General features: G+C 57.0%; 1 long non-coding RNA gene across 1 annotated transcript, besides 2 other annotated features; it reads left to right on the top strand.

Annotated features, from left to right (window-relative positions):
• LOC124900931 (uncharacterized) lies at positions 1,175–3,018 on the top strand. Its single transcript, XR_007058676.1, has 2 exons — positions 1,175–1,237; positions 2,610–3,018. It is a non-coding gene; the product is annotated as an uncharacterized LOC124900931 (long non-coding RNA).
• Positions 1,587–1,746: an enhancer, noted in NCBI's record as "active region_22304". NCBI's record gives its function as "activates an Ori minimal core promoter by ATAC-STARR-seq in GM12878 lymphoblastoid cells {active_cell/tissue: GM12878}" and the evidence as "EXISTENCE:reporter gene assay evidence [ECO:0000049][PMID:35858748]".
• Positions 4,421–4,660: an enhancer, noted in NCBI's record as "active region_22303". NCBI's record gives its function as "activates an Ori minimal core promoter by ATAC-STARR-seq in GM12878 lymphoblastoid cells {active_cell/tissue: GM12878}" and the evidence as "EXISTENCE:reporter gene assay evidence [ECO:0000049][PMID:35858748]".

Below are 14,785 nucleotides of genomic sequence, written 5' to 3'. Positions count from 1 at the left end.
AACTTCTGTTCATTGCCAGGCTTTGTATCTTCCTTCTTTTAAAAGCGAAAGTGTCCTTTCTCTTCTTGTTTGGAACCTAGAATTGTGTATCGATGCATTTTTGGTGATTTCCCAATAACTAGCTGTGATCCTGCTCCACAGAGCCCTAATGCTTGAGCTCAAACTGTCCGAACCCACACTGCACTCCTTGGAGAAAATGAATGCAGCCTGAATTCTGCTGCTGAGAGTGCCTGGCCGTCCTGGTGGTCACTGACTCACTGGGGTCTGGCCGTCCTGGCAGCTCCTCAGGTCACCGGACTCTGGGGAGGCACCGTGCTGGTTCTGCCTGTGCCTGGTGGGACCCCCTGGTTCCCGGCACTGTCTGGGCCTCGTTCTGAGAGATGACTCCTTCTCACCATTGGTCACCAGACCTGGGCCCTCGGCCACTCGTGGCGTGGCTGAGATTTCAGGTCTCAGAGGACTGTCACCCCCTTCCTCCTATTCAATTTCTGCATGAAGTCTCTAAATCAATAACAGAGAAGGGGAGAGGAAAAAGGAAAGAAAAACTCCCACCTAATGGCCATTTTCAGAGCAGCCGCAGAACCATGTGACACAGCTGACCGAGGCAGCATTGCAGATACATTTGTGTGCCTGCAGATCTCAGGTACACGGACCCGTCTCCATGCTCAGGGGGCCTCTAAAGGGGGTGCAGGCTTTGGGGGCAGAGCAGAGGGGTGTAGGACTCTGGGGAGGCCACGACCACTGAGGGAAGGACCTTGCTATCTCACAAGGCCGAATCCTCCCCAAGGTGGCTGCCGTCTCCCTGGACCCTGCGTTCTGCACCCCCGGGAGGTAGGGAGTTGGATCTCGTACCAACGATGAATGCGTGGACACGTGTGGATGCCGTCCGCTTCCCAGAGTCCCCAGCCGGGCTCCCCAGGGCTCTGCGGGACCCTCTTCCATGCACCTGTGCTGTTTGCTCTCAGGTGGCTGCAAGCAAGTCCCTTTTCTCAGCCAGGCAGGAGGGAGTGGAGGAAGGGCCTGTGTGTCTCCTCAGTTTCAAAGAAACTCCCACGGCAGAGCGTGCTCTTGAACTAAAGCTTGAATGAATCAGAAACATCTGGGCTGTTTTTTCTGTGCTTAAGATACAGGAAACAGACCCATCCAAAGCCGTTTGGGGTTTTATCAAGGGGTCATTTAAGATGCAGAGCAACTTGAAATCGCCCATCTGTTGGAGAGCCGTGCGTGCTGACAGAGGGTAAGAAACTACAGCCCGCGCAGCTGCGGTCTTCATGTGGTCGCTGCACGCAAGGGTTTGCCGTTATCTGTTGCTTCTGAAGGCAAGGGTGAGGGGAGCGGAACTGGGTGTTGCCTGGTTCTGCCGTCAGACCAGGCACTGGGGAGGGAGTCCTGTGGGGAGGTGGGGCCAGGCCTTGTCTCTGTGACAGTGAACGTCCCTGTCCATGTTGGTGTTTCTCAGACAAGCCACCTCCTTCCACCCCCACGGTGGTGCAAGGGGAGGCTTTAGTCCAGGATAACAAATTCTGAACCAGCTGCTGCGTCTGGAGCCCCTGAGGGCTTATGCACTGGTGACCAGGGAGTTTCCTGGCTTATCACATCCGAGGCCGACTTTCGGGCTACAGAGGGGCGTGTGAGCCCCTGGAGTAGACAGAGGAACTGCTTCTCTGCCAGGCGCTGTGTTGAGATGAGAGGGAGGGCAGGTCCTTCGGCTTCTGAAACATGAAACAACCCCACACCTAGGGCAGGGCGTGCAATGCCACCATGGCCTGGAAGACCCAAGAGTGATGAGTGCTGAGCACAGGCCAGGCCCGGGGCTGTCACGGGCAGAGCCACTGGCCCGGCGTGCAGGTGGGAAGGAGGTCTCGGTAACTAAGCATTCGCATGATTCTGTCCTCTGAGGACTGGGGCAGGTGCTTCCTCTACCTCCCAGCAGCCTCCCTAATTCCAGAAGAATAAGAACAGGGGAGAGGAAGCCAGTGCAAGGGCTCCCACCTGCTCCCTCCAAGCCAGAGGTGCTGCCTCGGTTCTTCACTTCCAGCCAGGCCATGCCTAGCAGGCCTTCGTCCAGTCCACGCGTGGCAGCGCTTGGCCTGCCTCAGGCCTGTGTCCTCAGGCATTGTTCCCTCCTGTGTCTGCCCTTGTCTGGGGAGTATTTTCTGTCCTCGCTTCAAGTCCCTGAGAGTCTGCCTGGCACCCTGACCCATTCTGCCAGCCCAGCCAGTCCATACCAGGGAAGCTCCAAGGGTGGGCCTGGGTGGGCCGTGCCCTGGAGGAACACTTCTTGTGGCCCAGATGAACGCCGTGGGTGTGGGGGCCATGTGGACGGTGGTGGGTGAGGCCGGGGGTCCCCACAGCGAGGGCTTGTGGGTCTTGGTGCTGCTTCCATGTGGAGGGGAACTGAGGTCTAAGGTACAGCCCAGGTCCCAGGCCGGGTCACCCCCGTCCACCCTGCCTGTCTTCCGTGTGCTTGGGGAAGTGGAGGCAGCCCTGCCGAGGCCCCACGTCCTCTGTCACCTTTGCAGACTTTGGCACCCCGTGATGCTACCGTCCTGAGTGCCCCGGGGCCTGGCTGGTGTAAGCGTCTTCCTGAATTCCCTCTTTCATTCAAGCTCTAGAATTGGGCGCCACTCTGTGCCAGGCGGCTGGGGCTAGACCCCGCTCCCCGGCTGATGCTGTCCTGCCCCAGGGATGCCTGGCCAGGCTCTTGCTGTGTCCACCACGCTCCATCCACACCCCTCCATCACATTTCACCAGGGGCCCGGGCCAGAGACGCATCCGACATCCCATCTGGGAACAACGGCCTCAAAGAATGGGGAGCAGCGAGGGCCGCCAGACACTGAGTCCTTCTGGATCTTTCTGGCCAGGCTCCTTCCCTGGCATCTGGGCTCGGTGGGGGTGGTCTGCCCCCTCATTCCCGCAGACCCTGGCCCCTGGCAGGGCCCCCAGTCTCCACCTGCCCTGTCTGTTTCCTCCCCAGTGTAACTATGCTGTAGAAATATATTTTGGCCACACCCTGCATGAAGGTTCCAGTCTCTGTGTCTGTGGGAAGGGCTAATCTGCGGCAAGAAGTGGTCCCTGGGATGGAAAGATCCTGACACAACGGAGGTTTGTGTCCTGCTCATGCAACGGCTCTGCCTGGTGAGCCTGGCTTCCTGGCACTCACGCCCTTGCGGTTTCTTCCACGTAGTCCCAGGTGAGTCTGTGCGGCCGACAGCATGCGGCAGAGTGCAGATGGGTCACTTCCGAAACTGGGCTGGACATGCCAGGTCTCCCTCCTGGTTGCTCTGTCTCCTGGGTCACGGGCTTGGGTGAAGCCAGCAGCCATGCCGTGGGAACTCAGGCGACGCGAGAACAGAGCGATCTCCCGAGGTGCACGGGACTCCAGACAACAGCCCGCAAGGACCAAAGCCTGCCAGCAGCTGTGCAGGACCCTCGAAAAGTCTCCTGGGGCCAATAGAGCCCTCACACGGCAGCAGACTCTGGGGGCCTTGGGAGGAGTGGCTGCATTTTGCTGGGAGAATCACAGAATCTCTGGGGCCTGAGGGCCCGGGACGGCCCAGAGACAAGGAGGTACTCAAAGCTGTGTGTCGTCCTCCCATGCCGGGCCAGGTGTGTCCATGTGACCAGAGCACAAGTGGATGCCACTCCTGAGTCCAGGGCCTGAAGGACCCTGTGGCTTCCCTCTGGGTCACTCTGTCTGCCTTGGGTCACTCGTCCTGAAGGAAGCCAGCCACTGCGTGCGGGGCCCTGCGTGGAGAGGCCCTCATGGTGAGGAGACGTCCGGCCCACAGCCACGAGGAGCCGCGACCTGCCAGCACTGGGGGTGAGCTTGGACCTGCCCCTCCAGCCCTGTGGAGGCTTCAGAGCCATGGCCTGGGACAGCTGCTCAGCTGAGCCAGACCCACCCAGCCAAGCCCTTCAGAACCCCGTTGAGTTTGGGGGTCATTTTTCTGCGGCAGTGTGGACCACCAGGAAGGACATCCTTCACGCAGACCCGCCGTGGCAGAGGCTTCACGGTCTCTGGGGCTGTTGTCTCCCCACCAGCTGGCCCACAGGTCCCAGAGGGACACGCAGGAAGACTCTTTCGCCCGTCGGGAGTGGCTCACCTCCCGTCCCCTGGATTCTCTGGAAGGACAGTGGCCTCATGGCCACGCCCGTGTGTGAAGGCTGCTGAGGAGAGCAGCCTGGCTGGGTTCCAGAGGACGAAGCAGGTCAGGAAAGAGACGGAGAAGGGGGAGCAGCTTGGCAAGTGGTCCCACGGTGGGCCCCCAGGGATCTCCCTGGAAGCTGTGGCAGCTGTGCTGCCGTGGAGGGCGCCTTGTCCTCACCAGATCCTGTGGCCTCCCTGGAGGGTGGAGTGTGTGCTGGCACCAAGGTGACGGAAAGGCCCCCCTCCATTACAGCATTGCACACATTTTTAATAGGAAGATACAAAGTGGTGTCAAAGGCCCACTGAGAAGACAGCTGAAGCTTGGCCACCCCACCTCCCACGCAGAGCCAGGCACTAGGGCAGAGGCTCCGGCTCTGAGTCCTGGCACCCCTGGGCCCTCCGTCATCATCACATGGGTGACATGGGAGGAGGTGGCCGAGGTGAGAAGCCCAGCCCATGTGGCCACTGTGAGTTGTGGGTGGGGAGGAGGCCTCTGCAGGAGTGGCAGGGCAAGGGCAGGCAGCAGCAGAGTCGCAGCCCAGGGCTGGCGTGAAGCAAAGCAGGAAAATCACATTATTCAGTTGCTTTAAAAATAACAGCATTTACAGGGCAAAACGGGGTGGCCCAGGTTTAAAAGAAACCACCTGTCTGTTCTGACGGTCAAAGCGTGAGGGAAGCCAGTGGTCCAAGCAGATGGAGGCGTCCGGGTCTGGGCAGGAACGTGTCTGCCACGTGCGGTCTGGGTTCAGGTGAATCAGGGAAGAGGAACCCCAGGGGCAGGAAGTGCTGGGGACGCCCCTGTGAGGCTCTGGGTCCAGCCTGCTGAGAAGGGGTTGCCAGGGGCTGGGGCGGCTGCCTGGACTCCCTGAGAATCCTGCAGCCCGGCTGACCTGGGCGCTCATACCAGGTGGGGTGGGGTGGGGAGGGCACACCAGGCGGGCACACACCCAGTGGGAGGGCACACCGGGAGGGCAGGCACACCGGGCAGGGCAGGCACACCGGGCGGGGGACACTCACTGGGAGGGGGGCCCTCACCACGCAGGGCAGGCACACGGGGGGGACACTCACTGGGCAGGATGGGCACACTGGGTGGGGCGGGCACACCAGGCCGGGTGTGCATGAGACAGCAGCCGCTCTGGAGAAGCGCAAAGCCTTTAGGATCTTAGTGTGATCTCACGTGTGGGTTCACGAGTCCTGTCCCATCCTGGTCATGGTGTCCAGAAAAACAGGACGGCGCATAAGTGGCCCTGCTGCTTTTGTGAGGACGAGGGAGCTTCAGGGGGTGAGAAGGGAATGGTGGGTGTGGCGCAGGAGATGGGCCAGCAGAGGGACGTCCGACCTGGGCAGCAAGCAGGAGAGCCCCAGAGGTCACCTCCATCGGAGACGCAGGCACGCCCTTCCCCACCTGCAGCCCTGGGCTCTCTCCGCGGCATCGGAGTGTGAGGGGAAGAGCTGCCTCTGAAACCCCCCACCGGCCCCACCATCTTATGGCGGCCCCGCTGACTGCCCCGCTGACCCCCCGCTGACCCCCCGCTGACCACTGGGGCCGTGGTGCCTCAAGCCTCGGCCGTCGCCTTGAATTTGGGCCCGGCTGGCAGTGCCCTGACTTGGCAACGAGACGCTGCCCAAGTCTCAGATATTCGATGCCTCACATTGCCAATATGGAGTCATTTCCCACATGGGGAAACTGAGGCACAGGGGGCACCCGGGCATTGCGGCACCTTGTGACCCAAGTCCCCATAGCGGCTTGAGGTCTACGGTCATCTCTGTCCCAGCCCCATGGTGGGGGAGTGGCCACTTGGGCTTTGGAAAGGGTACTCGTTTGGAAGGAGGCTTGCCTGTTGCGTGAGTGTGAGCTCAGATGGACTTGGGGGCCGATGGGGCCTTGTCACGTGGGGGGCAGGGCTGGGGGTGGGGAGCCGAGCTCGGCCCTTGGCAAAATGCCCAGAGATTTGTCAAGCGCAAGCACTGGCGTTCTCTGTCCCTTATGCTTACATTATTTGAATAGAAGAAGGCCAATCACATCGCTTCCCCAGGTGTGAATCACTGCCTACTTGGCAGGGACCGCAACCTTGGTTTGGCCTTTGGACACCGCACGCACATGTCATGACCCTCCTGGCTTTGGGAACGTGGTGTCCGGCTTACGGCTTGGGGTCCCCGTGCCAGGGAGCACTGAACGCAGCCGCCCACGTGTGGACTCATCGGACAGAGTGCGGCTGCTCCGTTTCCCATCCGCGCTGTTTTTTGTGCCCCTGGCCAGCAACGCCTTGGCGGGAACACCCAGTCCCTCCAGAACCGCCGAAGCTCCCCCGGCGCCTGCTCCCGGCCTGCGGGCTCCCAGCGCCACATCCTCCCCCAGGCACGGCTGTTGCCAGGCATCTGCACGGCCCTAGTCCTGAACCAAACCGCAACGGCAGAGCTGAGCACGTACCTGCGTCTGTTTGGTTTGTTTCCCAGGAGTCCGGCTCCAGATTAAAGAACCGTGTGAGGCCGCACTTTGCTTTTCGGGTACACGCCTCTGCACACTGTGTGTCTGGTGGAGGGCAGGGTCCTGTGGTTTCCAGCAAAGCCGACCTCCATGGAAACGCAAGTGGAAAATGCTTTCTTGAGAAAGTTCCAGTCAATGACAAAATGGCCCTTCCCCAAATGCCGTAGTCTCTCGCTGAGACCCTGTGCCAGCGTGGGGAGGTGCCCTTCCCTGAGTGCCGCAGTGTCCCCTGTGCTGAGACCCTGTGCCAGCGTGGGGAGGTGCCCTTCCCTGAGTGCCGCAGTGTCCCCTGTGCTGAGACCCTGTGCCAGCGTGGGGAGGTGCCCTTCCCTGACTGCCGCAGTGTCCCCTGTGCCAGTGTGGGTGTCCTCAGGGCTGAGCAGGGGCCCCGTGGCTGGAACTTTGTCACCTTTTGAGCCAGACAGCCTGCGAGGGAGACTCCCGGTGGTCACCACCACAGCAGGTGGCAGCCATGCGCCAGTTCTCAGCCCCGTCCACGCCTCATAGTGTTACGCACGAACCCTTCATCCTGCTCCAAACAGAATGAGAATGTCATGTCGCAGCCTTGTCTAGAAAGCTCACCAGAGAAGGGGGGTAAAAGCAAGTCCCTGAAAAGTCACAAGAAGACGACCCTGTGTGAGCAGTCCCTGACCCACTGATTTGACGTCCAAAATGGCTTCCACACTGGATTTCCTGCTTCCCCACACCCTCAGCTTTGGCTTAGGGCCAAAGCCATTCTAGCCAGAGCCGTGGGTCCTTCCCATCAGCAGGCCTTGCTTCCTGCTTCCCGCACTTCAGAGATGGGCGCCGACCACACAGGGCAAGGGACACGCTGGGTGCCCTCAAGAGGAGTGGGTGGAATGGCCCAGAAATACCCCAAATAAATAAGGCTGGGCATCGGTGGCAAGGATGGCAGAGGGGCCAGTGAGCCACTGCTGAGCGCAACCTGGGCTGGGCTGGACAGACGCTTGAGGAGGCCAGGTGGGCAGGGACAGGGGACACAGAGAAGGCTGCGGTGCTCAGGGAATGAAGCCAGCATGACCGGACGTCACCCCTTGGCCAGGCTGCACCAGGCCCTGAGCCACATCCCCTGCGAGGTCAGACCACAACCCAAACAGTTGTTTGATCTTAAAACTAAGCCTGTGTTTGTAACAGGAAACCAGCCCCAGCATGGCTGGGGTGAGTCGCATTAAACTGTGGTGCGTGCCACAGAAAACCTCAAAGGAACGAGGGCACGGTCCAGGGATGCTCCCTGCTTGGAACAGGAGCTCCGGGCCGGGCGCGCAGGCAATCCCAGGGGCGTCCAGAGGAGGCGCCACACCTAAACCGACCCTGGCGGGGTGACCTCAGCCTTTGAGGGTTCTCTTGGCCCCGAGGTCAGTCCCAGGGCACAGATCCATGGGGCTGCCCCGAGCCAGCTCTGAGGATTGGATGGGCTTCCCCCATTGTCTGGGGACCCTGACGAACACCACAGTCATAAAGCGCCTTTCATTTTCCTTTCAGGTCTTTTAGCTAAAATGCCACAAGAAAGGGGACTACGGCCCAGTCCCAGGCTAAGCGCGCTGCACAGCCCCCACTGGGCCTCTGCTTGGCCCAGATAACTGGAAAACATTCCAGGAATCTCAGCATTGCGGTTTTGTTTCCTCTTGGCTTTGTGAGAGTTTAAGGAATGTGTAATTATTTATGAAATGCCAGTGTCCTGGCCACAGAAGCCCCGATTGAAGAGAGAACCAGGCAGATGCAGAGCCATTCTTGGCTGGAGCTTTGAGCCCCACCGACTTTCCCTGCCATGATGCTGGGAATTTCTGCCCCACTCATGGGCATCAGAACTCCAAGGTGGAGCAGGACCTAAATAGACTGTAAAGGGAGGTGGAACCGAGATCCATGTGCGTGTTCAGAATTCAAGTAGGGTGAGTGGGTTTCCTCCCTTCACGTCCGCCCCCAACCCTGAAGAGTCCTTTGGGGAGTGCCGGCATCTCCTGCAGGAAGCCCGCCTCCCCTGGCCCTTCCGAGGTCCTGAGCCATGCTGGAGGGTCTTCAGCCCCCAGCCCTGCTGGGCTTCAGCTGCTGTGGGACTGCAAGGTGGGGTGGAGTTGCCCTCAGAGGGTGCCGGGTCTTCACGGGTGAGTTGAAGACCCCGTGGACGCCGCGTGTCAGAGCCCTGGGAGGGGGTCTCTGAGGTTCAAGATCTCAGTGGAGCTGCCGTTCTTTCTGGGACATCTCCTGGGTACTTGGCGAGAGAGCAGAGGTCAGTCAGAGGCGCCTTGGCCAGCACCAGCCCCTCACTCCCCGGCTATGCGGTAGCCCCTTCTGGTCCCCAGCTGTCACCTCCACTTGGGGCCCAGCTGGCACTGCCCTGAGTCCGAGGTCTCCAGCCCAGATCACCGAGATGGACCCATTTTCCAGATGAGGAAGCCAGGGTGCAGAATGGAGCCGGATGTGCAAGGTGCTTCGTAAACGGTGCCTTCCGGGCGGGCTCAGCGGTGAACACGGACAGGCCCGCCTTCCTGGAGCTCACGCTAGCAAAGTCAGGAAGAAAACCGCGTGGCCACCTTAGCAAATGCAGAACAGCATCTGGGAACATTCAACAGCCAGTCATGAAAAGGTTCTCAGCAGGCTAAGCATAGAAAGGCATTTCCTTAACTGGACAAAGGGTCTTCAAAAAACCTTCAGCAAATACAGTACGGCACTAAATGGCGAGACAGAGAAACTGTCCCCGTCAGACCAGAACACAGTAGACAGGCCTTCTAACAACGCTTCCATTTAGCATTCTAAGAGAGGCTATGGCTGTCACTCATAGGAGGGAGAGACTGAGAGACAGAGACAGGGTCAGAGAGACAGACAAAGACAGAGAGAAGCAAAGTCAGAGACGTAGGGAAACAGACAGAGAAATACAGAGAGAGACATAGAGAAACAGAGAAAGAGAGAAACAGAGACAGAGACATAGGGAAACAGACAGAGAAATACAGAGAGAAACAGAGACATAGAGAAACAGAGAGAGAAAGACAGAGAGAAACAGAGACAGAGACATAGGGAAACAGACAGAGACAGAGAAATACAGAGAGAAACAGAGAGAAAGACATAGAGAAACAGAGAGACAGAAAGAGAGAAACAGACAGAGACATAGGGAAACAGACAGAGACAGAGAAATACAGAGAAACAGAGAGAGAGACATAGAGAAACAGAGAGACAGAGAAAGACAGACAGAAGCAGAGACAGAGACATAGGAAAACAGAGAGACAGAGACAGAGAGAGACAAAGACAGAGAGAGAGACACTCACAGAGGATAATGAAACAATATCTGGAATAAAAGAGAAACGTTCTTCACAAATGGTATTTGCTGTGGTTAGAATGTCTCTCCCAAAACTCATGTTGAAACTTAATTGCCATTTTCCAGATGAGGTGCAGAGTGGAGGCAGACATGTTAAGAGGTGAGGCCCTCCTGAGGAATTAACGTGGTTGTCGAGGGAGCTCGATAACGACTACAGCAGTATAGTTATAAGAGTTAGGGAGAAAATGAACAAAATGAAAAGAAAATAACACAGATAAGAAACAAGAGATAAACATAGAAATTTAAAAGGATTTACATGTATATTATTAGATATAATAAAAAGTAGCAGCCAGGCACGGTGGCTCACGCCTGTAATCTCAGCACTTTGGGAAGCCGAGGCGGGCAGATCATGAGGTCAGGAGATCAAGACCATCCTGGCTAACACAGTGAAACCCTGTCTCTACTAAAAATCCAAAAAATTAGTCGGGCGTGGTGGCAGGCACCTGTAGTCCCAGCTACACAGGGGGCTGAGGCAGGAGAATGGCGTGAACCCGGGAGGCAGAGCTTGCAGTGAGCCGAGATTGCGCCACTGCACTCTAGCCTGGGTGACAGAGCGAGACTCCGTCTCAAAAACAAACAAAAAAAAGGTAGCAAGTATGTTGGATGCAAACCCAGCATTCACAATCAATCAATCATAATTCCATCATCCAGAAAAAAAGCCTTTTTTTTTTTTTTTTGAGATGGGGTCTCGCTCTGTCACCCAGCCTGGAGTGCAGTGGCACAATCTCAGCTCACTGCAACCTCCGCTTCCCAGGTTCAAACGATTCTCCTGCCGCAGCCTCCTGTGATAGGCACCCACCACCACACCCAGCTAATTTTTGTATTTTTAGTGGGAGATGGGGTTTCACCATGTTGGCCAGGCTCGTCTCGAACTCTTGACCTCGTGATCTGCCTGCTTTGGACTCCCAAAGTGCTGGGATTACAGGTGTAAGCCACCGCGCCCAGCTGACAAAAGCATTTACAGTTTAAAAATCAAATAAAAGATGCACAGAACAATTGAGGAAAACATCATAAAACTTTACCGAGAGACCTATTCACTGTCTGCCCTCCCTCTACCACGTCACTCCTGACTGATGGTGTGGATGGAGCTCCTGTCTATTGTCTGAGTTTTCTGATGTGGAGCGTGTCATCTCCACCAAAGCATGACTTTGCATCTCTTTTCCGTGTCATCAGCTGTTACCGAATGGATGAAGGAATTAATTTTAAGCTCCTTCTGCTGTGGGTGCTGGTACTCTGGCACAGCCCATCTACGTTTTTTGCTCTTTTGAGTCGAGGGCCAGCCCTGTGCCGTGCGAGGTCGAGTTGTTGTGTGTGTGTGTGTGTGGTGTGTGTTGCATTTTTACTTTTTACTTTATCCTACAGTCTGGGCCTCTGCTTCCCACACATGTCCCCTGACTCACCCTGTGGAGCGGGGCGAGGGTCCTCCAGGGTATGGGCTCTCTTTGGGGGACCCATCTAGCTCAGGCTTGCGAGCCAGGCCAGCACTCTCTCCACCTCAGCCACATGTTCTCAAAGACCCTCCATGACGGCAACCTCAGGGTCTCACAACCCGAGAGCATCTCTAACTCATCAGAGAACATGAGAGGACTTGGCTGGGGGTGCCTGCCTTCTCTCCTAGTCACCCCACTTGAGTCTTGCGAGCCTGGGATGGAGTCAGCGGCCCTGGGTGTGGGCTCCCCTTGGGTTCCCTTCCTTGGAGCCTCTCAGCAAGGCCGCGTGCTTGTGGGCCCTGCTTATCTGACTGCCCTGCACACACTGCAGGGGAAAGCGTGTGCACACTCCCTGCCGGCCAGGCTTGCCTCAAGGTACACGTTCTTATGAAAGTGCACATAGCGCTTGCATTTTAGTGAACTTGTGCCAGGAGTTTCCACGAGGGACTGCACACCCTCAGCAAAGCCTCCGTGCTTCCTTCCTGCCGTGTCCCTTCACCCACAGGATCACAGGTGAGGGGGATTCGATGCTGCCCAGATGGTGTTTCTGCTGCACTAGGATTCATCCAGTGGAATATGCACTGCCAGCTACATATGAAATTTTACATTTTCTAGTAGCTAAGTAACACTGAGAAAAAAGAAACAGGTATTAATTGTAATATGTGTTGTTTAACCCAATGTAACAAATATTATTCCAGCATGTAAGCAAAACGTAAAGGGTGTTGCTGAAGCATTTTGCCTTTTCTTCCCCCTCCTGCCTCTTCCCACCCCGGCCTCTGTTTGCACTTGTAGAACCTGCTACTGAGTGGCAGTTTCAGGGGCCAGCAGCCCCCGTGTCCTGTGGCCTCCGCACTTGACACTCAGGCCTAGGCTTGTAACCCCAGACTCAGGAGCTGCCAGGCCAGCCGCAGGCTCTCTAAGTTGGCTTAGGGGGCCCTGGCTGGGAGACGAACTCTGCCTTGCACTGAACATTTTGCTCCCTGGTATGGCCTGTGAGACTCAAACCTCCACTCGTGCCCAGGATGTGTGCCCGTTCCCTGTGCAGAGACCCTGCAGGCCTGTCCTGGCTCAAGGACGCCTGCCCCTGTGGTACATTCTGCATGCTCAGAGCCACAGGGCTGTCCTCCCGGAGCCCCCTGTGCTCCCAGCCCGGGGCCTGTGTTCACTGGACAGGAGGGCCACTGCCATCAGGGGTGTCTCAGCTCCTGCCCTAAAGAGGCCCCAGCGCCCTGCCCAGGTGTCTGTGCTGAGTGTGAGTGACAGTCTCTGGTTCCCTGCCCATGTTTAGAGGGGAACAGGCAAATGAGAACAGGGGCTGAGGGAGTGACCACGAAGACAGAGTGGGCATACAAGGCGGAGCCGCCTGACCTTTGCAGGGCAAAGACTCGGGGGGGCAGACTCTGGACCCCAGAAAGCAGGTGGAACCGCCCTCGGCTTCTCCACAGGACGTCCAGGGCAGGGGGCCTGTGCTCCGGACTCAGGGGCACCAGGTTCAGGGAGGCCCTACAGGGGCAGGGTCTTTCCCACCACTTGCCTGGGACCTTGGGAAGAGGATCATTCCCACAGCTACCCACAGCCACAGCCGAGGCCCTGGGAAGCGCAGGTGCAGGGTCAGCTCTGGCCCAGGCTGCAGGTCAGAAGGGCCCGTGTGTGGAGGAGACACCAGGAGATGTGGAAAAGTCAACAGCAGTGCTGGGGAACAGCCAGGGGAGGGAGGTGGGGGGTGGCCAAGACCTCTCCTGTCCTGCCGCCAGCTCTCCCAGGGCCACATGAGCCCACCCAGGGGTCAGGGTCATGCCAGGACAGCAGTGCACACGTGTAGCTCAGCCCCAGTCACGGTGTCTGAACGAGGACTCCTCAAGGAAGCCTGTGGGAAGAGCCCGTGTCCCTGACTCTGCCCAGGGAATGCAGGGGGTGGGAGCGGGGCCTGTGGGAAGGGGCTGGCAGCCTCTGGGCTTCCTCCCTCTCCTCAGGAGCTGACCATTAGGAATTCACAGGGAAGGGGCCAGCTGAGCTGGGAGGGGGCTCGTTTTCCAGAACATTGGCCAAAATTCTGGGATGAACTTTCCCTTCAGCTCCAACACGTAAAGAGCTTGGAAACCACTAAGTGAGAATCATCAATTTGTCTTGGACCCATGAAAGAACCAAGGTCAAAGGGCAGAGTGCCACCTGACACCTGGAGAAACAGGTGAACACAGAGTATCACAGCTGAGATCTGCCTACCTAAAGCCAAAGCCACTGGACCCAGAAACTAGTGCACACATGTAAATGATGGCTTTGAGGAAGTGGCAGAGGCCAGGCCTGGGCCATGTGAAGGTGAGCATAATGATGGCTTTGAGGAGATGGCAGAGGGTGGGCATGGGCCACGTGAAGGTGAGCATAATGATGGCTTTGAGGAGGTGGCAGAGGCTGGGCATGGGCCATGTGAGGGTGAGCATCTCCCTGGAGCTGCAGTCCTGGGGCTCTCACATTTATGGGTTTTACTTTCAGGAACCCCGCTGGGTTCTCAAAGATCCAAAAAGACCTCCTCTGGGTCTGGCAGAGAAGGAGAGGAGTAATCATTGTGGAGCACAGCCAGGGCATTTGCCACAGCAACCGCCTTTCCAAGGCAAACAGACCTTACCAGGGCCTTATCCCACTTGGACAAAAGGCACTCCTCCCACTCCAGCTCCCTGGAGCTTTCCTGTCTCACCACAGTGGGGGACCCTATGCCACTGAAAAAACACTAGTGAAGGTCACAGGCCAAGAGGCAGACCCAGTGAAAGGCAGAGACTTCATTATAAGATTGTAGCATGCTCCCTTCCCACACACCTGACTACCACACAACCAGGGTTCTATTATGACCAGGTTGCAGTGGATTACAGCTGAGTGAGCTACCAGATATGGATTCTATTTAAAGAGGAGGACCTAGGGAAGTCCAAAGTCAAAAGAGGAGACACACGCAAGGACATTAGGGGAATTTGAAGTCTCTGGCACCTAGAGCTATGGAAAATATTACACGTGGCCTAACTCTAGCCAGATTAAAATAAAACTTCAATCTAAATCCCCACTTTCCACCCTTCCTATTACTCAATGCATCACGTATGGCTTTCAACAAAATATTGCAAGCCATGCCAAAAGGTAAGAAAAAACTGAAGAGCAAACACAATCATCTGAACAATACTCAGATGTGGCAGAGGTTTTGGAATTACCAGGCAGGGAATGTAAAGTAATATGTTAAAGGCTCTCATGGAAGAGTGGACGGCATGCAGGAACAGGTGAAAGCTCTAAGAAAGAATCATAAGGAAAGGCAGGAATCAGCTGTAACAGAACCAAAGAAGGCCTTTTCTGGGCTCATCAGTAGATGGGACAAAGCTGAAAATGTATTAGTGCATTTGACAATAGGC

The sequence above is a fragment of the Homo sapiens genome, chromosome 5 (genome assembly GCF_000001405.40).
Source record: "Homo sapiens chromosome 5, GRCh38.p14 Primary Assembly".
Lineage (NCBI taxonomy): Eukaryota > Metazoa > Chordata > Mammalia > Primates > Hominidae > Homo > Homo sapiens.
This window is presented reverse-complemented; position numbering and strand designations above follow the sequence as displayed.